General features: G+C 38.4%; 1 long non-coding RNA gene and 1 pseudogene across 1 annotated transcript in view, besides 1 other annotated feature; both read right to left on the bottom strand.

The window, feature by feature from the left end:
- Positions 1-311: 311 nt before the first annotated feature.
- LOC105373693 (uncharacterized) overlaps positions 312-27341 on the bottom strand; it is a 106969-nt gene continuing 79939 nt past the window's right edge. The window contains exon 3 of the long non-coding RNA XR_001739741.2: positions 312-3821. This is a non-coding gene — a long non-coding RNA (uncharacterized LOC105373693). The remainder of the gene's footprint in view (positions 3822-27341) is intronic.
- Positions 3163-3284, bottom strand: RNA5SP107 (RNA, 5S ribosomal pseudogene 107; annotated as a pseudogene).
- Positions 9603-10330: an enhancer, noted in NCBI's record as "H3K27ac hESC enhancer chr2:155439873-155440600 (GRCh37/hg19 assembly coordinates)". NCBI's record gives its function as "activates a minimal SCP1, AML or CMV promoter by ChIP-STARR-seq in naive H9 embryonic stem cells {active_cell/tissue: H9 hESC(naive)}" and the evidence as "EXISTENCE:reporter gene assay evidence [ECO:0000049][PMID:30033119]".

The following is a 27341-nucleotide window of genomic DNA, read 5'->3' as shown; positions in this document are numbered from 1 at the left end:
CCTTATTATTACTCAAATCAGACTCCCACAAAAATCAGAGGCTAGAGGTTTCAAGAATAATTTGGCGGGTAAGGGAATGTCTGCGTCTGATTGGTTGGCAATGTAATCATAGGGGTGTGGAAAATGGTCCTCATGTGCACTGAGCCAGCCTCTGGGTGTGGCCACAGGATTTGTTGGCGGTCTGGGTGGAGCCATTGGTCATCAGAAATGCAAAATCCTGAAAAGACATCTCAAAAGGCCAATCTTAAGTGCTACAATAGTGATATTATCTGCAGGAGTAATTAGGGAAGTTGCAAATCTTACAGCTTCTGGAATAATGGCTGGTAATCCTTTATGTCTACACCTTAGCAGAATTCAGGCTCCTCTCATCCTCCTAACTTGGCAGGCCTTTCATTAACTTTTCCAAGGTGGTTTAGTTTTGGGGAAGGGCTATTATCATTTAAACTATAAACTAAATTTCTCCCAAAGATAGCTTGGCCCAAGCCTAGCGATGATTAAGGGCAGTTTGGAGGCTATAGGTAAGTTGGGGGCTGGTTAGATCAGGTATATTCCACTGTCATCCTTTTCTCGTTTCTATAATTTGTGCAAAGGTGGTTTCAAAGGTTTTCTTATTTCTAAATGGAATTGCTTCCTCACTAACTCACTGGATGCTAGGCAATTTTCTTTTTCATATCTGTGTGCTCAGCATCTAGCAGAAGACTTGGCTCATAGTGAGACAGGAATAATACAGAGTGATCGCCAGAGAATAGAAAAATTCTAGGCAGCAGTTTCACATGACTAGCAAAAGGAAACTGTTGAAATAGATTCATAAGCTAGGGGCCTATAAGATCCTGAAAAACAAGATATGGGCCAAGCTGGCTAACACTCACTGGACCCAACATGGTGTTGGATTTGACCCAGGTTTCATCTAGGACCTCATTACATAGTCATTAATATGCTAAATTACCACACTCACCAGTGCCATGACAGTTCTGGAAACATCTATAGTTGGTGTAAAAATGGGTGGCATCACAGTTCCAAAAAATCTTCACCTTTTTCTAAGAATCTTCATCAATATTCCACCCCTGGGTTGAAGAAACCCATAAAGGTAAGAAGCCCCAAACCCCCTTGTATGAGACTCTCTGAGTATACCTTCACTCCCTTTTCTTGAGTGTGTACTTTTCACTTTGCAAGAAATTGTCATACTTTCACTATTTTTTGACTCAGCCCGGAATTCGTTCCCACAGTGGTGTCAAAAGCCTGAACACTAACTGGGGTCGATGTCCCACTGGCATTTGGGGACCTCTCCGAGCCCACCAATATCAATAGTAAGCACTCAAGCATGATTGTTTAATTTAAATTTGATTAATTGCTACTCAATGTGGTCCATCAAGACATTACTTATAATCTCAGAATAGGAGCTTACAAAGCATCATTTTAATAGTCTATATAGTGGCTATTCGTTAGTGAGGAAGTTGTTTAAAGGTAAGTATATTTAATGTGTAAATAATGTGTTAGCTTTTTTATGTAACTGTCTATTTCTTAATTAATACGTTATTTTTAAGGTACTATTTTTCCTCTATTGGGAATACATTATTTGAGGAACCAGAGTGACTGTCAGAATATGGTACTTAGAGATGTAACAGAAATCCATTTAATTTATAAATGAAACTAGAAAAAATTCAAAGTCACAAGTGAATTTTTTTTCATTTTATAAGCATACATGTCCCTTTCCCTGTCACAACCTTCCTATGTTCAAATGCCAGTGAAACACCTAAGCACAGTAAGATGACTTCCTGAATTGAAAATCAAAATGGTTTTGTAAAGCCAGGAAGACTTAGCTTTATTTTTCTTTTGTGAATTTGCAGTAAGTATTCCATGGCATTCTCAGGAAGATCAATATATCTTCAGCTTTGTTTTATACAGCTGTGCAGGCACCACGGTGAGTGAAAGCTCATCTGGGTTCTTAATTGAATATTCTCCTAGAGATGCACCAAAACAGATCAAAACGACTTTCTTTTAATTTCCTTAGGGGACAACTTGCTGGCATGGCCAATGCTGAATTTCCATCTTGCCTCTTTCTCTTGAGTTTCTCCCTTTGAGCAACACTGTAATAGCTGCTGGCTATGCAATTAGGCATCTCTGCTTCCCCTTCAATCTTTTTCTCCTTATTAAGCTAGTAGGAAAATGTTAAGCCCTTAGGCATCTGCATCTATTAATAGGAAGAGAAGATTAACTGTCACTGTTGCATAGATTCATGATTAGTACACTGCTGACAGAGTTCTCTTTTATTTCCTCCTTTTTGGCAACAAGAAAGCCATGGGCATCATTGCAACAACATAAAGTAACTCTGCAGTAGGGCCTCTAATCTCCTTCTGATGGGAGATAGTTGGCCCTCAATCCTGAATTGTTCATTTATGGGATTAAGACAAAGGAAACAAGTAAACTTAGTCCAAGACTCTCATGTAACAGGTAAAGAAATAGAGGTCATGTGATCTTTCACGGGGCATGAAGGTAATTCATGACAAAACAGAAACAAGTAGAGTATCAAGGTCACCTGCTATTTCTAACTCATCATACTGAAATCATTATATTCCCTAGTATTAGGAATTTTTAGATAGCCTAGGAAATCCAGCTAGTCCTGTTTCTCACTGGAATGGAATTACCAAAAAGCATTAGTTGTAAAGAAAAGGCAATGAATTGTTTGTGGTACAAGCCACTCCAAAAGATTTATTTGCTTAATCAGAAAATGTTTTCTTCAAAGCATCTGGGAATTCTCAATGCATATCATTCATTTGGGTCTAGTTTTTATTTTTCTACAAAAAGGCTATTTTAAAGCATAATTAGGTAAGCTAAAATTTATCAAACACAGAGAGGTCATATGTAGCACAATTAAGTGATCCTCAAAGAGTGATGCCTGGACCAGCAGCCACAGGATCACCTTAGAAATTTATGGAAATGCAAATTATCCAGCCCTACTGAATCTGAAATTCTTGGGAAGGCAGATACCTGTGTTTTAACAAATTCGCCTGGTGATTTTGATGCATGCTACAGTTACAGAACAATTGGCAGAGTCATTAAGAAAACTGTCTCTTAAGTCATTGAGTTTGAATCCAAGCCTGCTACTTAGGAGTGTGACTATAAGCACATCACTTAATTTTTCTATTCTTCAGTTTCTTCTTTTGTAAAATGTAGGCTACATTTTCTTAGTGTTGTTTCCCATCCAAGTACTAACCAGCCCCAACTATGGTTAGCTTCCAAGGTCAGAGGAGATCAAGCACATTCAGGGTGGTAGAGCTGTATAATTATTCCATAATGTTGTTATGAAGATTTAGCGAGTTGATATATGTCGAGTGCTCAGAACGGTGCTTGGCGTATTATAAGCTTTATGTGTATGAACATTGTTACTATTACTATTAACATTGTCACATGACAACTAATCTACCAGTTTAGCTAATTGAATTTAGCTTCAAAAATGGCCTTGAGGAACAAGACTGCTAGAAATAATGGGTTAAAAAATTATTTGGAAACGGTTCCCATGAGGAAGATAAGTTTGAGTTGAAGGACACACTGTAATACCTGAGAATTAAGGCTACTCGTGGACTTAGGGATCTCTACACATAATAGTTGATATTTTGCAACAAAAATGCAGTAGAAAACAAGCTTCAATGCAGCACATTTTTCCATGAGCTGTTTAAGGATATGCATCCATTCTATGGATAAAGGGGCTTTATTTTCCACACATGCACCAAAAATCTCAATTATTTCCATTTTTCTTTGCGAGAACCAATGTTTCACCTGTCCCTGTCCTACAGTCACTTCACAGGAATCAGTAAAGGAATCTGTAAAAGAAGGAAATATTGAGAAAGTCTTTGATTAAAAAACAAAGGATTGAAGCTTGTCATATTATACTCTTTCCTCTTCTTTGACCAAGGATTCTCAAACTTGAATATGCATATAACTCACCTGGGGATCTTGTTCAAATGCAAATTCTGATTTACTGGGTTTCCAGTAGGGCTAGTAATTCTACACTTCTAACAAGCTTCCAAGAGATGCTGATACTGCTAGCTCAGCCTCCACACATGCTGTAGCAAGGGTATATATCACAGCTGATTATTAACAAATCCTGTTGAGTCTTTCTTCATGGACTTTTCAACATCATTTCTTCTGTAGCCATCCTGGTTCAGACACTTAACCATGCTTCTGATCTTCAATCTTCCTCACTTTAATTCACCTGTCCTACCACTGCCAAAGTCATTTTCTCCAACTAGTGTTTTGATCACATTTCTCCTGTGTTCAAAAACTTTTATTAGATCCCCTGCCTAAGATTCATGTACTGAGCATCAACCACATGTTGGGAGCTCTGTTATATCCTGGGAATATAAAAATAAATAAAATATTGGCTCTATCTTTCAAAAGCTCAAACAACTAAATAATTTTAAAACAATAAAAAAGCAATAGTACATACATACCATGAAATACTGCAAAAGCATCAAGAAAGGAGTTTAAGAATTGCTTACATAGGCAACACATTACTTTTACAGGATGAATGAGGACCTTTGAAAATTAAACCCAGTGAAAATGGCAAGGAAGGTCATGGAAGAAAAGTGATCAGCGTGAACAAAGGAATAAAGTCAGTGGTGGGCTGCTAAATGTCTAACAATGGGCTCTGGGGAAGGAATGTGCACAGTTGGCCCTTGCAAGCAGGTAAGAGCAGACTGCAGTATATCACTGAGTAGAGATATGTAACAATGTGGAAATGTGAGCAGGTAGTAGTTTGGTGCAATAGAATATGGAGTATAAATTTGGTTGTTGTTAAGATTTTTTTTATAATATAAACATTCTAGACCATTCAAAAAGCCTTGTGATTTTTCTTCCCCACAGTCACCTTAGAAAAGTAGGGATACCAGGTCCTCAGCCATGCTAACCGAACAAAATATATAAACAATAGTGTGATTGAAGTTCACTTTCATTAGAGCAACCATTGCTACCAAAGCTGGGATTGTTGTCCTTTCAGCTGGCTCAGCTGGACTCAAAAAAACAAGCATACTAGGGTCAGTTAGTCCATAATAGTTGAGTCAGCTCTGGGGCTAGACAGATGTTCCACTACTTAGAAGTGTGATCTTTGGAAAAGATTTGTTTAAGTCAGCTTGTACTGCTATAAAAAAGAATACCATAGACTAGGTAGCTTAAAAATTTATTTCTTAAAGATCTGGAAGCTGGAAATGCAAGATCTGGTATCTGGTGAGGGCCTTTTTCCTGCTTTGCAGATGGCTGTCTTCTTGTATCCTCACATGGACCAAAAAAAAAAAAAAAAAACAGCATCTCTCTCATGTCTCCTCTTAAGAGAGTGCTAATCCCATTCACGAGAGCTAATCCTAACATATTGTAGGTTAGGATTTCAGCATATAAATTTTAGGTGGGGGTTTGGGGGAACATTCAGTTCATAACAATATTTAACAACATTGTACTTACTATTTGTCACTGGAAAAGTGGAGACAGTAATTGTACCTTACCTTTTAAACTTTCTGAAAAGATTAAATCAAATATAACAGGACTAAAGTCCGGCTTAAGTGACAGGGATATATAGGGTTCTCAGTAAATATTAGTGTGATGGTTGATTGTTTTGGCAACTTGACTAGGCCACAAGGTGCCTGGATATTTGATTAAATGTTATTCTGGGTATGTCTATGAGGGTGTGTCTGGGTTAGATTAACATTTGAATCAGTAGGCTAAGTAAGGCAAATTGTCTCCCTCAATGTGGATGGGCCTCACCCGATCTGTTCAAGGCCTGAAAAGGTCAAAAGGCTGACTAAGGGAGAATTTGCAGTCTTTGAGCTGAGAAAAGAGTTTTCTCTGACCTTCAGACTCAGACTAGAACTTACACCATCAGCTCTCTTGCTTACTAGGCCTTTGGACTGTGACTGGAACTATACCATTGGTTTTTCTAGGTTTTCAGCTTGCTGGAGCTGGAATAACACGAATAAATTTCTTATTGTAAATCTCTTTCTATAATATATGTATATACACTGACACCACTCACCCCTTCCCCTACAACACATTTCTTATTGGGTTCTGTTTCTTATTGTTCTGTTTCCCTGGAAAATCCTGATTTATACAATTAGTTATATTGTTATCAGAAAGACAGCTCAGAGGAACCAAGATTCAAAATCATCTGTTCACAAAGTTGGTGGTCAGAGTGAATGCTGTAGAAGGTCAGATTAGAACCCTAAGAGTCTTCAGTGATTATGATTAAGACTTCTTGTTTTCCACAACCTTTTATACCAGCTTGGCCCCACGTTTGGGATGGATGGCCATGAAGCTTAAAGGATTCATTCTTTGTTACCTTAGACCACAATGGATATTTAGAACTCTTTGGTGTCCATGTTGGTTATTCAACCCACATTTCTGTGTTACTAACAGTGAGGCATTTGATTGCTAATAGGTGGACAAGATGAGTTTCCCTGAATGCCCTGAATGTTCTGCAAAGTGTAATATAACGGCCACTGGACAGGTGGAGAACTTCCCCAGCTGCCCAGCAATTTCCTCTTAAAAAGGTGGCTGGAGCTAAAGGCATAGTCAAGGTTAATGCTCCTTTTTCTTTATCCCAAATCAGATAGAGTTTAGGCACTTTTTCATCAAATATAGAAACCCAGCCCAGTTCATGGCTCGTTTGGCAGCAACCCTGAGACTCTTTACAGCCCTAGACCCTAAAAGGTCAAAAGGCCGTCTTATTCTCAATATATATTTTGTTACCCAATCCACTCCTGACATTAAATAAAACTCCAAAAATTAAATTCCAGCCCTCGAACCCCACAACAGGACTTAATTAACCTCGCCTTCAAGGTGTACAATAATAGAGTAGAGGCAGCCAAGTAGCAATGTATTTCTGAGTTGCAATTCCTTGCCTCCACTGTGAGACAAACCCCAGCCACATCTCCAGCACCCAAGAACTCCAAACGCCTGAACTGCAGCTGCCAGGGGTTCCTCCAGAACCTCCTCCCCCGGAGCTTGCTACAAGTGCTGGAAATCTGGCCACTGGGCCAAGGAATGCCCACAGCCCGGGATTCCTCCTAAGCCATGTCCCATCTGTGCGGGACCCCACTGAAAATTGGACTGTTCAACTCACCTGGCAGCCACTCCCAGAGCCCCTGGAACTCTGGCCCAGGGCTCTCTGACTGACTCCTTCCTAGATCTTCTCAGCTTAGCGGCTGAAGACTGACACCGCCCGATCACCTCGGAAGCCCCGTAGACCATCACGGACGCCAAGCTTTGGGTAACTCTCACAGTGGAGGGTACGTCCGTCCCCTTCTTAATCAATACAGAGGCTACCCACTCCACATTATCTTTTTTCAAGGGCCTGTTTCCCTTGCCTCCATAACTGTTGTGGGTATTGACGGCCAGGCTTCTAAACCTCTTAAAACTCCCCAACTCTCTTGCCAACTTGGACAATATTCTTTTATACACTCCTTTTTAGTTATCCCCACCTGCCCAGTTCCCTTATTAGGCTGAGACATTTTAACCAAATTATCTGCTTCCCTGATTATTCCTGGACTACAGCCACATTTCATTGCCACCCTTCTTCCCAACCCAAAGCCTCCTTCGCATCTTTCTCTTGTATCCCCCAACCTTAACCCACAAGTATAGGACATCTCTACTCCCTCCTAGGTGACTGATCATGTACCCCTTACTATCCCCTTAAAACCTAATCATCCTTACCCTTCTCAACACCAATATCCCATCCCACAGCATGCTTTAAAAGGATTAAAGCCTGTTATCACTCGCCTGTTACAGCATGGCCTTTTAAAGCCTATAAACTCCCCCTACAATTCCCTCATTTTACCTGTCCTAAAACCAGACAAACCTTACAGGTTAGTTCAGGATCTGCGCCTTATCAACCAAATTGTTTTGCCTATCCACCCCATGGTGCCAAACCCATGTACTCTCCTATCCTCAATACCTCCCTCCACAACCCATTATTCTGTTCTGGATCTCAAACATACTTTCTTTACTATTCCTTTGCACCCTTCATACTAGCCTCTCTTCGCTTTTACTTGGACTGACCCTGAAACCCCTCAGGCTCAGCAAATTACCTGGGCTGTACTGCCACCAGGCTTCACAGACAGCCCCCATTACTTCAGTCAAGCCCAAATTTCTTCCTCATCTGCTACATATCTCAGCATAATTCTCATGAAAACACACGTGCTCTCCCTGCTGATCATGTCTGGCTAATACCACAAACTCCAATCCTTCTACAAAACAACAACTCCTTTCCTTCCTAGGCATGGTTAGTGTGGTCAGATTTCTTACATAAGAGCTGGGACTGTGCCCTGTAGCCTTTCTGTCCAAACAACTTGACCTTATTGTTTTAGCCTAGCCCTCACGTCTGCGTGCAGCGGCTGCCACTGCTTTAATGCTTTTAGAGGCCCTCAAAATCACAAACTATGCTCAACTCACCCTCTACAGTTCTCATAACTTCCAAAATCTATTTTCTTCCTCACACCTGACGCATATACTTTCTGCCCCCCTCCACTACCTTTCAGCAAGCCGAATTCATTGCCTTAACTCAAGCCCTCACTCTTACAAAAGGACTATGAGTCAATATTTATACTGACTCTAAATATGCCTTCCACATCCTGCACCACCACGCTGGTATATAGGCAGAAAGAGGTTTCCTTACTATGCAAGGGTCCTCCATCATTAATGCATCTTTAATAAAAATGCTTCTCAAAGCCGCTTTACTTCCAAAGGAAGTTGGAGTCATTCACTGCAAGGGCCATCAAAAGGCATCAGATCCTATCACTCAGGGCAACACTTATGTTGATAAGGTAGCTAAAAAAGCAGCTATCAAAAGGCATCAGATCCCATCGGTCAGGACAACGCTTATGCTGATAAGTTAGCTAAAAAAGCAGCTAGTCCCAACTTCTATCCCTCACAGCAGTTTTTCTCCTTCTCATCTGGCCATTCCCACCTACTCCCCCACTGAAACTTCCAACTATCAATCTCTTCCCACACAAGGCAAATGGTTCTTAGACCAAGGAAAATATCTCCTTCCAGATTCACAAGCCCATTCTATTCTGTCGTCATTTCATAACCTCTTCCATGTAGGTTACAAGCTGATAGCCCGTCTCTTAGAACCTCTCATTTCCTTTCCATCGTGGGAATCTGTCCTCAAGGAAATCACTTCTCAGTGTTCCATCTGCTATTCTACTACTCCTCAGGGATTGTTCAGGCCCCCTCCCTTCCCTACACATCAACTCGGGGATTTGCCCCCACCCAGGACTGGCAAATTGACTTTACTCATATGCCTCGAGTCAGGAAACTAAAATACCTCTTGGTCTGGGTAGACACTTTCACTGGATGGGCAGAGGCCTTTCCCACAGAGTCTGAGAAGGCCACTGCAGCCATTTCTTCCCTTCTGTGAGACATAATTCCTTGGTTTGGCCTTCCCACCTCTATACAGTCCGATAACGGACCGGCCTTTACTAGTCAAATCACCCAAGCAGTTTCTCAGGCTCTTGGTATTCAGTGAAACCTTCATACCCCTTACGGTCCTCAATCTTCAGGAAAGGTAGAACGGACTAATGGTCTTTTAAAAACACACCTTACCAAGCTCAGCCACCAACCTAAAAAGGACTGGACAATACTTTTACCACTTGGCCTTCTCAGAATTCAGGCCTGTTCTTGGAATGCTAAAGGGTACAGCCCATTTAAGCCCCTGTATAGACACTCCTTTTTTTTAGGCCCCAGTCTCATTCCAGACACCAGACCAACTTGGACTGCCACCCAAAAAACTGGTCATCCCTACTATCTTCTGTCTAGTCATACTCCTATTCACCATTCTCAACTACTCATAAATGCCCTGCTCTTGTTTACACTGCCGGTTTACACTGTTTCCCCAAGCCATCACAGCTGATATCTCCTGGTGCTAAACTCTTTAGTTTGTTTGTTTTTTGAGACAGAGTCTAGCTCTGTCACCCAGGCTGGAGCGCAGTGGCACGATCTCTGCTCACTGCAAGCTCTGCCTGACGGATTTATGCCATTCTCCCACCTCAGCCTCCCAAGCAGCTGGGACTACAGGCACCCACCACCCCTCCCAGCCATTTTTTTTGGTATTTTTAGTAGAGAAGGGGTTTCACCATGTCAGCCAGGATGGTCTCGATCTCCTGACCTCATGATTTGCCCACCTCGGCCTCCCAAAGTACTGGGATTATGGGCGTGAGCCACCGCGCCCGGCCCCGCCACTCTTAACTCTTAAAGTAAATAAATAATCTTTTCTGGCAGGGCTATGCCAAACCTCCTTGGGCACTCTCTAATTAGATGTCCTGAGTCCTCCCAATTCTTAGTCCTTTAATACCTGTTTTTCTCCTTCTCTTATTCCATTTAGTTTTTCAATTCATACAAAACCGTATCCAGGCCATCACTAATAATTCTATACGACAAATGTTTCTTCTAACAACCCCACAATATCACCCCTTACCACAAAATCTTCCTTCAGCTTAATCTCTCCCAGTCTAGGTTCCCATGCCACCCCTAATCCTGCTCAAAGCAGCCCTGAGAAACAACGCCCATTATCTCTCCATACCACCCCCCAAAATTTTTGCCACCCCAACACTTTATCACTATTTCATTTAATTTTTCTTATTAATATAAGAAGACAGGAATGTCAGGCCTCTGAGCCCAAGATAAGCCATCATATCCCCTGTGACCTGCACGTACACATCCAGATGGCCGTTCCTGCCTTAACTGATGACATTCCACCACAAAAGAAGTGAAAATGTCTTGTTCCTGCCTTAGCTGATGACATTGTCTTGTGAAATTCCTTCTCCTGGCTCATCCTGGCTCAAAAGCTCCCCTGCCGAGCACCTTGTGACCCCCCACCCCTGCCTGCCAGAGAACAACCCCCTTGACTGTAATTTTCCTTTACCTACCCAAATCCTATAAAACGGCCCCACCCCATCTCCCTTTGCTGACTCTCTTTTCGGACTCAGCCCGCCTGCACCCAGGTGAAATAAACAGCCTTGCTGCTCACACAAAGCCTGTTTGGTGGTCTCCTCACACAGACACAAGTGAAAGAGATGTCCTTTATGGAAATACAATCAAGGTTGTGGAAGTCCAGAAATGCACACAATTAATCTAGAGGAAAGCCATTTCTGGATAATGACTTGATAAATATTTTCAAATATTGAACAACCCTTGTGGGAAACTGGGATTAGATTACTATTTGTGACAAAATATTTTGCTCTCTTTTTTTGTCATTACTTCCATTAAGCCTGAAAGCATTATGGTATTTTGATTATATGGGCAATTCTGGAAAGAGAAAGAAGCCAATGGATGTGGGAATTAAGTCTATGGGAACTGACTTGCTATCTAACCATGTCCAAGGCTCCATAACTTGAGCTTTACCTTGCTGATATCAGAAGACTAACAAATTAGGACTCAGAAACAGACTAACAAATTAGGCTCAGAAACAAGGCAGTGGTGAATCTAGCACTTGGCCTCAGTGCCTGTGGCTGAACACATCTAGAAAAGGCAAGACCTAATATGGAAGAAATGGATATAAAGAAACATTCTGGTCTAATATTTTTTAAAAAGTGCTTTTTCACTGTTAAGAAAGGTTTCTTGCTTTTTGAAAATGGGTGTGAAATTTTATAAATAACAGATTTTCTTATAAAACAAGACAAGCTTTCAGTAGAAAACAAATACCAACAAGGTTTCCTAAACTCTTCACCTCCTCTCTACCCAAAAGTGATAAACAAAGAAGCAAAGCACCATAAAGATAGAGAACCTCTGAGCATGGACCAAAGTTGATAGTCAATAGCAAGCAAAGGCATAATCTGCGATAAAGACTTATAAGCACAACACTGAAAAATATTGAGGTTGATATCTGATACTTTTGATATATTTCCTAAAATAAACTTTCCTTTTAGAAAAGTTTTAGATTTACAGAAAAATTACAAGAGTAATTCAGAGTTCCAATTTCCACAGTTTCCCTATTATTAACATCTAGAACCTTAGTATATGTGTGCACTACAATTAAAGAACAAATATTGATATTTTATTACTAACTAAAGTCCTTACATTATTCAGATTTTCCCAGTTTTTCCTTGCTCTCCTTTGTGAGCTCCAGGATTCCATCTAAGATGCCACAAGACATTAGTCCTCATGTCTCTTTAGACTCCTTTAGGCTGTGATGGTTTCTCAGACTTCCCATGTTTTTTATGATCTTGAAATTTTTGAAGAATACTAACCAGATATTTTGATATATTGCTAGATAAATTTTCTGATATTTTATTGAGGATTTTTAGATCTATATTTATCAGAAGTAAATATTTGTCTTTCCTTTTCTCAAAATATCTCTATTAGGTTTTAGTATTAGGATAATGCTGGCCTCATAGAATGAATGTGGATATGTTCCCCCCACTTCTATTTTCTGGAAGAGATTTGGATAATTGGTATTATTTAATCCTTAAGTGTATGGTAGAAATCACCAGTGAAACCATATGGGCCTGTTGCTTCCTGTTTTGAAAAATTATTAATTTTTGACTCGATTTCTTTAACAGATATGGGTCTCTTCAGAATATTTATTTCTTGATTCATGTATGTCATACCTTTTGTAAATGTTCCATAGTGCTTGAATATTCTGTTCTGTCATTTTCATTCTTCCCTCTGCATTTCAGTTTGGAAAGTTTCTATTGGCATATCTTCAAGCTCACTGATTTTTTTCCTTGTTCATGTCCAGTCTATTGATAAAGCTGTCAAGTACATTCTTCATTTCTATGACAGTATTTTTTAATTTCTAGCATTTCCTTTTGATTCTTACGGTTTCCATCATCTCTCTTCTCACATGACCCATGTGTTGTTGCATGTTGTTCACTCGTTCCATTAAAGCCCTTAACATATGCATAATAATTTAAATTCACTGTTTGATAATTCCACATTTGTTTCCTATTTGAGTCTGGTTCTGATATTTGCTTTTCTTTCCAGACTATTTTCCTTACCTTTAGGAATGCCTTGTAATTCTTGGTTGAAAGCTGGATATAACAAACTGGGTAACTGAACTGAGGTAAATAAGTATTTAGCGTGAGGTTCTTATGTTAATCTGACAAGGAGACATCCTATGGTTAATGTTTTCTGTAGCTGTAGGTGCCAGAGACTTCAAATTCCTATAATGTCTTTGTTCTTATCTTCTCTATTGTTTCTGGGCTTTCCTTGAAATCCTACTCAAATAGAGTATGTGCGTAAAGTACTTTCAATTGTAATCTGCTGTTTTTATACTGAAGGCCTGTTGATATAGCAGTAAGGTACAAGAGAAGGGAAGCACACTATAATCTTATAGCTAAATTTGCCTCTTTCAATGGGCCGATCCCCCTTGGTTATGACTTTCACAAGTATTTTTTGGCTTTGTCTTCTTCCCTTCCCCTTCTCTCTCCCATACTGGGGAGACAAGAAGGCCAAAGGGTACTAGAGTTGGAGAAATTCCCTTCTGCAGCAGTGGATAAGGCCCTGGTAAAGTCTTTTTCCCTGGTGAGTAGAACTGTTATTGAGAATGCTTTGGTCTATTTTAAAATGGTTACTTTTCCACTCCACCTGCCAGAGCCACTGTAGGATTCTCTGTTCCTCACCATGAGAAGCCAATGTGGCTACTTCACCAAGTGCCCCCAGCAGTTTGTCACTCTCAGTCTAGTCCACACTCAGCCTCTAGGAATCTGTCAAAATTCCTATTTAAGTGTTACCAGTTCATGGCTTGTTTTAAAATATACAGTATTAATTTTTTAAATGAGGTACAGTAAGGCCAACATATCAGGAGATGATTGCCACTGACAAGACAGTTACAATTCCCAAGAAGAGAGGGTGTGCCATGCCATAGGAGCCACATGAAGAAGAATCAGGATCAGTCGAGGGGTAGCGGGAGAGGAGAAAACTATTGGCAAAAGCCTTATTGTGTTTTTTGTCTGTGGGAAGGAACAGGAAACACAGAGTAAGCAGTTTTAGGACTGGCTAGTTTGAATAATTTCAGCAAACTCTGAACATAAAGGCTGTCCTTTATGTTCTTGGTATCTAGGCCTGTGGCAAAGAGGTCAGGTGGATAGTCATCCTCAGTAAGAGACTTCAATTAAAGGGAGTGGTTGGGGTGTGGGCTCTGGATTGGTTGGTTTGTATTTAAAAAGTGCACTCACACGTGAGTTGTTAACGGTCTCTAGGAATTGATGAACCCTGAGAATGGCAGTCCCTCCACGAGCAGCAAGGCCCCAGATGTCAAATAATCAGAATAGACAATAAAAAAACATGGGTCCAGAGCAAGCCAATCTCAGCTGTGACTCTATTCACCTGTCTTTCCAGATTTCAGGGTGGTGATTTTCCCTGTGACCATAGTCCCCTGACAGGTCCAATAAAGATATTGTTTTTAGTTTGTTCAGGTTTTTCTTATTATTAGGAAGGGCATAATGACTTCTAAGCTTGTTACATGTCAGAGGTAAATCCAGAAGGCTCCAATCAATTTTTAAATGTTCTGTTGATTTCAGTTCTATGCCAAACCTAAAATATTTGCAGTAGCTTCCAGATTCTAAGGAATTATCCTAAGAAAATTCTTCTAATGAGCATTTTTACTGAGCCTAAGACTGGGTGGCAGGCAGTTTATTCCTATGGTACCATGTGCTTTTATTTTGCTTTAAAATTTAAGATAAAACAATAGATAAATATTATCTTATGTTTAATTTTTTAAGGAAACTGCCAGGAAATTATTTTCCTTAATAAATTAGTTATTTAAACATTATTTAGGGCAGCTAAGAAAGAAATGACCCCATACTACAGTAACTTCTTCTGTTGTTGTATGTTGCCAAAAGCACTGGACTAGGTGTTTGAAATGCAGATTTGCATACTGATCATTAATTACCAGCTGGATCTCTTTCAAAGTAGTTCACACCCAAATTTCTGAGCATGTGATTTTGAATAATCATACTTGCCTATCTAGTTTTCAGGGTAGTTAGGACTGTGAAAGGGCATGTGAAACTTTATTTTGCAAAACACTACAGAAATGTAGAAAAGAAACATTAATAACTCTCATGCACATCCACCCAAGGGTGGTAAATTAAAAGAAGCAGAGAGCTTCTACTACTGGCTGAAAGAAACCCCATTCTCAGACCACATTCATGTGAAAAGTGAGTAAATTGAGAGGCCAAACAGAACAGAACGCAGAGAGAAAGGGGACATAGGTTTTATATTCTTGACTCTCTTGCCTTCAGCTGGGCAACAAAGCCTAGATGACTTTGTTGAGAAAAATAAGTGGTGCATAAGCAAGTGTAGGATGACCAATAAGGCTCATCAAAATAAGCAATGAAGTGCCCAGTTTCTCAGAACAGTTAACTAAATGAAGAGATTTAATTGTCTCTATGATAGTATATTCTTGTTGTAATGCGCAACCTGGTTTTTACTAACTCTGTTTTTAGACTCTCCCTTTTCCTTTAATCACCTAGCCTTGTTTCCACCTGAATTGACTCTCCCTTAGCTAAGACAGCCAGACAGACTCCATCTTGGCTCTTTCACTGGCAGCCCCTTCCTCAAGGACTTAACTTGTGCAAACTGACTCCCAGCACATCCAAGGATGCAATTAACTGATAAGATACTGTGGCAAGCTATATCCGCGGTTCCCAGGAATTCGTCCGATTGATAACGCCCAAAGCCCCGGGTCTATCACCTTGTAATAGTCTTAAAGCCCCTGCACCTGGAACTGTTTACTTTCCTGTAACCATTTATCCTTTTAACTTTTTGACTACTTCTGTAAAATTGTTTTAACTAGACCCCCCCCTTCCTAAAACCAAGGTATAAAAGTTAATCAAGCCCCTTCCTCGGGGCCGAGAGAATTTTAAGCGTTAGCTGTCTTTCAATCGCTGGCTAATAAAGGATTCTTAATTCGTCTCAAAGTCTGGTGTTTTTCTAACTCGCTAGGGTAGAACATTTTGGATGCCCCAGCGAGATATATTAACCCCACCAGGCGAGAGCCGGTCTCGCTCCAGGCTCCCCGGAAGGTCGGCCGGCTTGTAGGGGGGGGGGTGCCACCTGAGAAAAGAATTTTCAGGTCCCCGAAGGGCGACCGTCTTCCAGAGGAGAGCGGATCGACTACCGTGTGAGTGCCCTAAAATTCAACATCTGAGTCCTCAGCTTCTGACCCCGGGGTCAGGTAGTTCAGATTTGACTTCGTTTCTGGTAAGAGGGAAGCGGCCCTGACGAGGGTGTCCCTCTTTTGACTCAGCCTGTTACTCTAGGACACTAGTGGGTTGAGCCTTGGTTTTCTGGTAGGCGCCTTTGTGTCTTGGTTTGGGTGGGAAGTGGTCCTGACGAGGACCCTCCGTTGACTCATGTCAAGACCCAGGACACTGGGGAGCTGAGCCTTGGTTTCTGGAAGACCGGTCTCTGTCTCTCTGTCTGTCTGTCTCTGTCTCTCTCTGTCTGTCTCTCTCTGTCTCTCTCTCTCTCTCTCTCTCTCTCTCTCTCTCTCTCTCTCTCTCTCTCTCTCTCTCTCTCTCTCTCTCTCCTCTCTCTCTCTCTCCTCTCTCTCTCTCTCTCTTCCTACCTCTTATCTTGGGTATCTTTGTTTAAAAGAAAAAAAAACTGCAATAAACTCTGTGTGACTGGTGAGTGAGTGGGGAGGACAAACGCTTGCGGTTTGTCTTCCAGTTTGTAGCTGCACGACAAAAGCTACGGAGTTCGAGTGGGCCCTCACCTGCGGTTCCGTGGCGACCTCATAAGGCTTAAGGCAGCATCAGGCCTTAGCTCCATCCCAGCCGGGGGTTTATACCGGCCTGCCAATGCTAAGAGGAGCCCAAGTTCACTCAGGGGGAGTGGCCGGGCAGGCACCTGAATGATCCCACCACGGGACCCCCTCCCCTTGTCTGTCTAATAAAAAATAATAAATAGGAAAACTGTCATAATTGTTTACATGCCCTAGGGTCAATTGTTTGTTTTATGTTTATTGTTTTGTTCGGTGTCTATTGTCTTGTTTAGTGGTTGTCAAGGTGTTACGTGTCAGGACGTCGATATTGTCCACGACGTCTGGATAAAAACTTCTTCAAGGTCCTTAGTGCTGATTTTTTGTCACAAGAGGTTAAATTTCTCATCAGTCGTTTAGGCTGGCCACCACAGTCCTGTCTTTTCTGCCAGAGGCAAGTCAGGTGTTTTTACGAAAACGAGTGTGAAGAACATTCACCTGATTGGAATTTCTGGCACCATGAAGGTTGCGGGTATTTAGATTGTCATACCCCACGTCCTAGTGATTGGACCTCTTCTAAACTAAACTGGTGGTGGGTTCAAAACAGCCACCCTGCAGACCTTCTTGCTCACCTCTTTTGTCATTCTGTAACTTTTCCTGTGCCCTTAAATAGGACCTTGTATAGGGAAACGTACGCCCGTCATGCTATACTTCGTTTAGACTCCTGGTTCTGTTCCCCTGTGACTACTCTCTCATCTTAAAAATGACCCGAGTGGTCCCTTTCCCCCTCGTCCCTGCCCCCTACCCCGCACATCTCATTTTCCGGTGCGACAGCAAGTTCAGCTGAACTTGGTGAGGGTTTTTCTGGCTCCCATATCTGGGCTTTTTCACTCTATTCTGGAATTTTGGAGTGGCATTACTAATATAAAATATTATTATATATTTTATGTTATATAACATGTATTAACATAATGCAAATGACATATATGTTCATGTACTTTTAATTTTCTCTTTAATTTAAAATACTAGCTTTACTTATGCCTTCCTTAAAGCCAAAAGTTTTGACCTATAAGTGAAGAGGTAACTTATCTCTCATTTACATTTCTTTCTTTGTGGAAAAAAAAATTCAGACTACAGTGAGAAAGGGTAAAAAGTTCAGCAATTACCAATTTGGTTTATGTGTTCAGACCTTATATGGATCATTGTATTGTATGAATCAAAAGGTGAATCGTTGAAACAAATTGCAAACAGATAGCAAATTTAAAATACCCATCTTCATTGCACATATTATTTGGATTAGTTTTTGAAAATTTATATAGTTTCAATAAATTGTAATTATTAATATTCATTTTTGGATTGCTTTGTATTATTTTTTGCAAGGCAAAATTATAACTAGATCTGAATATCAATCAATTTTCAAATACAAGGAACATGTAGACCAGGTAAATTAAATTCACTAAAGAAATGGCCTATATACTAAATTTTAGGGAAAAACAGTATTCAAATCAAATACATCATTGTACCTGGGGCTATAAGCTTAACTTCTAGAAAGAAACTGATTTTTAAAAAAGACATAATTTCAAAAAATTGAAAAAAATTGTGTTCTTTCATTTTGAAATTTGACTGCAAATTGAGTATAATCATATTAATTTTATTTAATTCCAATAACATGCTTGAAAGAAAAAAATGTAAATGAATAGTGCATGGAATGTTGTCATATTTTGATTATATAAATTAAAATTTTTGATGTAGAGTTATTAAGCAATTTTCTCAGATGCTAATGTTTAACAGAGCAATGCTAATTTTTTCTTGCCTTGATTAATTAATACTACTTTTATAGAATTTTTTTAAAGATTCTTGCTTAAACTTTAATGACTCCAGTTAGTTCTCAAAAGAGAGTAATATGATATCAGTTGTTGAAAGATAGGTAGAATGACTATTTCAGTAAAGCAAGCTATTTCTCATACATGGGCACTAACGATAGTGGAAAAGCTACCTTTTGAGGGTGGGATGGAAAGACAGCTTAATGTGTGAGAAGATTTTGAAGACAATTACTAAGATGAAAAGAATAATATATATTGTAAATGTACCTGCTTTGTATAAATATAATAAAATAAGAGCAATAATAAATGAGCTTATTTTTGTTTGCTTTCTAGAAAACAATTTCTAGTAATTTTCAATGTATCAAAAGTTAAAAAAGCAAAGAACTGAACAGTTCATATAGTAGTTACATATTCCATATAAAAAAGAAATTATATAAATTAAGTATATAATTATACATTATAAGTATACAAAATACAGGCATACTTGTCCATTTTTGCAAACACACACACACACACACACACACACACACACACACACACACACACACACTGGAAGTATACACCAGAAGCTAAAATAGACAACTACAGAGGGCACGAGGAACTGTGTGGTAAAGATAAAAAAGGAAAAGAGACTTCCCTAAATACAATATTTTATATAATTTTGACACATATGTATGTTTTATCTACTCAAAAATATAAAGTTATATGAAAAAGCAAGTGCTAAAACTTAGAATAATGAGTAGAAATAAACAATCCTAGCTACTTATCAACTTGGACACATTAATACAGAGGTGCAAGCTCAGAAACATTATTTCAAGAGACTTTTAAATACTGTATTCTGTATATTCTTGGTGACACATATGTAAAGGACTGAAAAAAAAAAAAAAGAAAGAAAAGAAAAACCAGCAAAGAAGTCTTTAATCTAACTCAGCAGGTATAATGCTAATAATATTATCACCATGGTAACTTTGAAACTATTCCAAATATACTACCTGTGTAAAATAAACAAAACAAATAATTATGTTAATATATTAATTATATTAGGAAACAAGGTTTTCAGTGCAATAAAAAATAATGCAGGCTGGGTGCGGTGGCTCATACCTGTAATCCCAGTATTTTTGGAGGCCGAGGTGGGTGGATCACTTGAGGTCAGGAGTTTGAAACCAGCCTGGCCAACACGGTGGAGCCCCATCTCTACTAAAAATACAAAAATTAGCTGGGCATTGTGGCACGCACCTGTAATCCCAGCTACTCGGGTGGCTGAGGCACAAGAATCACTTAAACCCAGGAGGTGGAGGTTGCACTGAGCTGAGATTGCACCACTGTACTCCAGCCTGGGCGTCAGAGCAAGACACCATCTCAAAAAAAAAAAAAAAGATGCAAATATAAAATCAACCAAATTAAGTAAAAAATATCAATATGATCATAAGATGTTGATTAAAAAAATTTTCTAGCTCTGGTCTCTGAATGTAAAAAGAATTGAAGTTGTCTCAATAACAATGAGCGCTCCTTGTAGATAAATCTTGGTTTTAAATATTATTCTTAACTAAAACAAATCAGAGCTTCCTGGAGAAATTAGTATTCCATGTAAGGGGGAAAAAATACCTTAATTGTAGGACATCTTGTTATGCCAGAAGACAAGGAAGAGTTCAAAGACTGCTGATACTATACCAAATGGACCCAGGACCCAGATGGAATTATTACTGGAATTGTCACCGGCCAAATTAGGTAAAATATAAATATCAAATAAATAGCATCTACAATTGATATTTACACACTCGATACTTAAAAACCCATAATGAAAATCAAAAAGAAAGAGGAAAAAATTCATATGCCACGAATGAGATTGATTATTATAGGACCTCCTTACACTGAAATTGAAAATTAAAGATACAAAATTAACTATTTAGTCTGCCTTTTCATAAGACTTTGGAGTTCACCACAGTGGCTGATGATCAAACTCTATCAGGTAACAATGTCAGCTAAAATGAGGGGGGAAAATGACAGAATTAGAAAATCACAATTTTGTAACACCCAATGAAATAACTGATTCATACAAAGATCATTAATGGATCCTAAAACCATTAGGTGAAAGGCTGAGTGAAAGTGGATATTTGCAGAATATTATCCAGTAGATTATGTTCTAAATGCAAAAAAAAAAAAATCTTTCCCAAAAACTGATAATCTGGCTATCACTATCATAGCCAAGTGATCAAATCTGTTACCACTAATAGTGGGGCCACCTAAACATTGTCTGCTGATATGATATAATATGAAATACACAGTATGACCTATGAAATATTCTTGCCAAAAACATATAAAAAATAAGCTTTCAATTCTAGCTTAGAATGCCTATGTAATATAATTATTAGAGATGAAAGCTAAATGAAACCATGTGCAAACAATCACATGATTCCAATAATGTTATAATTGCAAGAGAACGGACCTATTCTCTTAAAAAATTATGGTCATGAAAAAAAAAGTCATTCTAGAATGATAGAAATGGAAGCAAAATCATGGCCAAATTAAATGCATGAAACTTAGTAAGATTTATTGAAAAAATTAATAAAAATTATTTTGTGCAATGGGAAAATTTGAATATGAACTGTGAATTAAATGATATTGTAATCAATTAAGATTATCTTATATGACATAATGATATACAAGCATATAAGAGTAAGTTCTTATTTTAGGAGTGGCAAAATGTAATTTTAGAAATTAAGTGTGATGTTCACAACTTGCTTTGAAATGTTTCAGAAAAAAATATAGATATAAATAAAGCAAATGTGGCAAACTGTTAAAAATTGGATGTATGGGTGTTCATTACACTATTGCTTTAGTGTGTACAAATGTTTTTGAATATTAATATTAAAATATTTAGAAAAAACTGAAAAAATAATAAATTATGAATAAAACTTTCATTTTGAGTAATGGGTAATTTTTAAAAACTTTTTCTGTGTTGCCTATCACTGTTTCTTTTAGTGCTTGAAATGCCCTGATTTGAGCTAATGAGAATCCTTTTGCATAGCATGAGTTACTCAGCTGATTTGGATTAATCATGTGCTTTGCCCCAGAAAAGCCTGGAATATGATAATCCCTTGGCCAATCTGTGAATTACATTAACTACAGATAAGTGATGTCCTTTAATTACAGATCTGCAGGACATACCTGCCTATCAGCATTACTTGGCAATGATAATTGGACTCATGTTTTGCACATGGTTTTATTAGAGACTCAGGGGTTTTGATGGTTAAGGTTGATTATAGAATTGGAATGTACCTATAAGACTTGCTTAATATAAGAGATTCTTCTCACAAGCAGAACTGGGTTTCCTGCTACCAAGCTGCTTCACAAGCATGCCACCCATGATCCAAAGCTGAAGATTTGTCTTGATTTGTCAGTGCTTCCTCTGCAACCCAGTGGTAGAAAATCAAAGAAGCCTAACCCTGAGATCTCCATATCCCTTTCAATCCATATCCTTCCCCTGCAGTCGTTGTACTGCCTCCTTTGCCTATAAGAAAGCTATTCCATGAGTGAAGCCACTGGAGTCCTGGCAGTCTTTTCAGGATCCAACACTTAAAGCAATTAACATGTAGTTAAACTTACTTCTATATCCTTTTGATACACTCCCTTATTCTTTGAGCATTTCCTTGCTTTTTGGCATAATTTATCCTACGTATATCTTGTGCATTTCCTTCCCTAGACCTGGAATCAACTATTTCTTGAAGGAGTTCTAATTGCTTTCAATGGAATATTACGTTTAAAAAATAAGATTGGGGCCCTAGGGATGCTTTACTGTTTGTAGGCCCTTTCAGTGACAAAATTAGAATATATGTTTTTAAAAATAGAATAATGAGTTTACATTAGTATTTCCAATTCACTTTCAAACATCAAAATGATTTTTCTGAATTTTGTGGTTTGTATATTAGAATATATGTATAAACATATATCAGTGCACTAATATATTATTAGTGTACTAGTATATTAATATGTATTTCCTCTTTCTCTGAAAACATTGTTTCCAAAATATCACAAGATAATTTCTGCAATTTGCCTACAATGTATGAATTAAATGGTTTTACTCTAGAATATCAACCATAATATTAAAAATAAGATACTGTCTGAAGTTTAAGATTTCTTTGCTGTTTATGTCTTCAGGATATATTCCTCTAAGAATACACACAGTGCAGTCTTGAAATTTTTGTCTGTGTGGCTATGTTACAAATGTGGTGTATTAGGCCACTCTTGCACTGCTGTAAAGAAATACCTGAGACTGAGGTTTAATTGGCTTATGGTTCTGCAGGTTATATTGGAAGCATAGCAGCATCTGCTTCTGGGGAGTGCTCAGGAAGCTCACAATCACCGCAGAAAGCAAGCGGGGAGCAAGCACATCACATAGCGAAAGCAGGAGCAAGAGAGAGAGTGGTGAGGGAGGTGCCACATACTTTTAAATTATCAGATCTTACAAGAACTCACTATCCAAAGACAGCACCAAGCCATGAGGGATCCGCCCACATGATCCAAACACTTCCCACGAGGCCCCCGGCTTCCAGCATAGAGGATTACCATTCAACATTAGATCTGGGCAAGGACAAATATCCTAACTATATCACACTGTAAATAGACTATTCACTTATTCACAATTCTGAAACCTCAAAAGCTCTAAATCCAAAAGTTTGCTACTTTGTTATTTGTAAATTTGAGATAAAAACTAGTGATTTGCTTCCTCTTGTATTCAACAGTATGGGGTTTGGTTTGTTTTCTTTTTAAACTAATTTTATTATTTAATTGAAAAAAACATTTAAATGGTTGTAGTCAAAGCTATATTTAATAGTCTATTAAGGCCGGGCGCGGTGGCTCACGCCTGTAATCCCAGCACTTTGGGAGGCCGAGGCGGGCGGATCACGAGGTCAGGAGATCGAGACCATCCTGGCTAACACGGTGAAACCCCGTCTCTACTAAAAATACAAAAAATTAGCCGGGCGTGGTAGCGGGCGCCTGTAGTCCCAGCTACTCGGGAGGCTGAGGCAGGGGAATGGCGTGAACCCGGGAGGCGGAGCTTGCAGTGAGCCGAGATCGCGCCACTGCACTCCAGCCTGGGCGACAGAGCGAGACTCCGTCTCAAAAAAAAAAAAAAAAAAAAAAAATAGTCTATTAAAAGAAGTATTGCATCCATTGCTATTCCACTTTGCCTACCTCCTCCCATGCCATAGACACGTGTTCCTTTTTGAAACTAAGTGAATTATGTGGGTCTATAGATTTCATTATTTATTTCCTTTTCTTCTGTTATCCAAAAGGAAGTATGCTACATATATTATTCTACACTTTTCTTTCTCTCCCAGCAATATGTCTTAAAGATCTCACACATTCAATATATAAGATCTTTCTTCTAATTCTCATGGCTGAATTTAATCACAGTTAGAAAGCTTTTATCCACTCTCAGTCTATAAAATAATCCATTTTTGTAGTAATTGTTTGGCTTGATTATTACAATTGGAATTTCTGACTTATTTGGGTTTTATTCTAGTGTGTGGTATGAGGTAAGGGTCCAACTTTCCAATTTTTTTTCCAATGGCCATCAAATTCCTCATTCCTTTTATTTAAAAGTATGACTTTTCCCTAGTGATTTGAGATTCGCATCATATAGTACATGATATAATATATAATAAGCTTCCATCTGTACTTATTTGTATTGCCTTAGATTGTTTTAAAATAATTTTCCTTTTCTATTTACCCCCAGCCTGATCTGTCATTGTTTTTGTTTTCAGGACTAAGTACTCCCTTGAAATTTGTGTATATTATTTCAGTTTGTGTTTTTATATTTTAATGCACATATATATAAATTATTTTTTCTGATTTTAAAATTATGTATAAATGTTAAACTGTGATAAGTATCTTTATGCAACTTGCTTTCTTTCATCTAAACTATGGTTTTCGGCTCTATCAAAGTTAGTATATATGATCAACTTCATTTAGTTTTAACTCATGTTTACAAGGTCCAAAATCACTTACAATTCTGACACCTCAAAAGCTCTAAATCCAAAAGTTTGCTATTGTGTTGTTTGTCAATTTGATAACAAAACTAATTTTTTAACAAAACTCCTGAATTTACATTGATGTAATTTATTACCTTTATCAATAGCTATATATTTTACTGTATATTAATGAGCTTGAATATAGAGAGCTATTCCAGATTCTGCTTGAGGTCTCAGTGAATATTTAATATATACAGTTAATCACTTTCCTACAATGAAAAATTTCTGAATTTGAAGGAACTTCTAACCCCAAGGGTAGACTGAAAAAAATAGCCTCAATAATTTGCAACTTCTCATATGAGAAGGTAGTGTGTATTTATCCACAACTTTAGTCTGGATTGGCTATTTGATTGCTTTGGCCAGTAGCAGGTTAGTGATGGATCACAAGCAGAAGCTTGAAAGGTGACCCCATATCAGATCTTGATTAGTTGCTGTTCATAGAAATCCTGTGACTACCACCATGACAAAAAGCCTGGCCTTGCCTGATTGCTGATCAGAGACACAAGGCTCTGCTATTCCCTCTCCCCAGCCAGCAGCCTGCCAACTTCCAGACTTGTGAATGAGGCCACATACCAACAGCTGCCTGCAGATGCATGGTTGAGCCCAGCCACGACCAAAAGAAGTTTTCAGGTGAACCCAGTTTAAATTGCCTACCCACAGAAACATGAATTAAATAAATAGGCATTGTTTTCAATGATTAAATTTTAAGCCTGTATTATTATGCAGCAAAAGCTAATACAGATAAGAAACTATGAACCTGTATTCCATCAGATCCATATATGACTATGTAGGTATTTATTTCCTTATTGATAGATATTTAGGCTGTGTCCAATTTGCATGCAATAAGCATGACTCCTTTGAGTACATGAATAAGAACTTCTCTGAAGTATATGCTTAGAAAGAAAACTGAGAAGTTCTAAGAAAATTTCAATTTCACTATATAAACCTACATTGGTTCCCATAATTTCATTACATTAGCACCAATAATGTATAAAATTTCTATTTCTTCAAGCTTTCCAATTTTAACCTGTTTTTCTTCCTACTTATGAGTCCTTGAAAATGAATATTTCAACAGTGTTTTAATTTTCATTTCTCTGATTACTGGTAAATTGGAATATATTTTTATATACTTTCACTTTATGAACTTATACATTTTCTTCTCTCCGAAATGTTAGCATGAAGAGTCCATGTTTCTATTTGTAGAAGGTGTTTTACACATGTTACATATTTACTTAAATATATTAAAAATAACTTTTGTTAGACCAATAGTTCTCAACCTTGGTAATATTAATACAATAGATTAATTTAGGAAACTTTAAAAGCTACCAATGCTCAAGGCTGTTGATCTCACATAATAATCACAATCTTTTTATATTTCTTGCACAGGCCTTTACTGCCCTGTTTTTTATAAATTTCCTCTTGGCTTTGGACATTGCCACCAAAATGTTGCTTTTGAGCTCCCTTTTACCACCCACCTCCATCTTCTTTTAAGCTTGGAGTAAGTCTAAAGCATTGGCCAAGATTACTGGTATATGTTTTTTTCTACTTTTGGTCTACGTAAGTGTTTAACTTGTTGTATTATTGGTTTTTGTTTAGACCACTAATCCTTTTTATTGTTTATATGCTTTACATTTCACTGTTTTTTTTTCTCTGATGTTTTATGGAGAGATACTAAAATAACTGCAGGATGCTATGTTGACTGGGTCCTCTTCATTGTTAAACACAACTGCCTAGATAATTAAAATCAGTAATGATTTTCAATCCTTATTTATTATTCAGTCAATGAGGTAATAAATACTTTTTTTTTCCTATATATTGTGTACTCTACTAGGCACTAGTTGTAGGATGATAAAATCACCATCTTGCCTCCCACCAACTCCCACCAAAAAAAGAAAAGAAAAGAAAACCAAAGAACAAAATGTCTGTGGTGTAGCTCACAATCTGGTGGGAGAGCCAGCTATCAAATAATTTCATAAAATGTAAAATTACAACGGTGATAAATATTAAGAAGTGAACATCGTTGAAGCTGTAATAATACATTTAGATAGTTGAATTAACATCTTATGTTAGGTAAATCTTTTCTGAGTTATTGGTAGTTGACCTGAGATAAAAAATTGCATAGTGCAAGGAGTTAGTCAGCAAGATTTCGATTAAAAAATACCCCAGGATCACTCCGTCCTACAAAAATACAATTAGAAACTATTCAAAGATAAGACTACCACAGGAATTCACTAGAATTTGGGGAGAAGTGAAGAAACCCACTGGGCCCACAGAATCAAGAGAAGCCATGAGAAGTAAGAGAAATGGTTACTTTAGACTGTGTCACCCTTCCTCGAAACTAGCATAATTCCACTCACAGATTTTCCTAGACTCATAGTTTCTAAGCAAGAGGAGAGAATTAGATGTGGATGTTTAATCTCCCCTCTGTTCTTGGAATGTTCACAGGAAGGCTACTTCAGTCCTATTCCATTTGAACCATTGAAAGTGCCAGGAGGGCTGAACCAAGTGGAGTGAATTGGGGACGAAGAGTGGGGTGCTGAGCTCACTGACTGTCACGAAGATATTGATGGCTACTTGCACTCTAATCAATGGAGATACAACTCTTTGAAGAGATTGGCCAGTGCTATAGCACTCCAGGGGCACAATCCATGAAAATACCTAATAGGATTTTCCACAATTCCCAGGTGCTCATATGGAGCCTTCCTCAGGCCTGGAAACAACTAAAAGGTCAGAATAAAGTTCTAGTGTCCACTAAGTCTTCCCAAGACTGGAAACAATGGCAGGGCAGCAATATAG

This window comes from Homo sapiens, chromosome 2 (genome assembly GCF_000001405.40).
Source record: "Homo sapiens chromosome 2, GRCh38.p14 Primary Assembly".
NCBI classification, from domain to species: Eukaryota; Metazoa; Chordata; class Mammalia; order Primates; family Hominidae; genus Homo; species Homo sapiens.
This window is presented reverse-complemented; position numbering and strand designations above follow the sequence as displayed.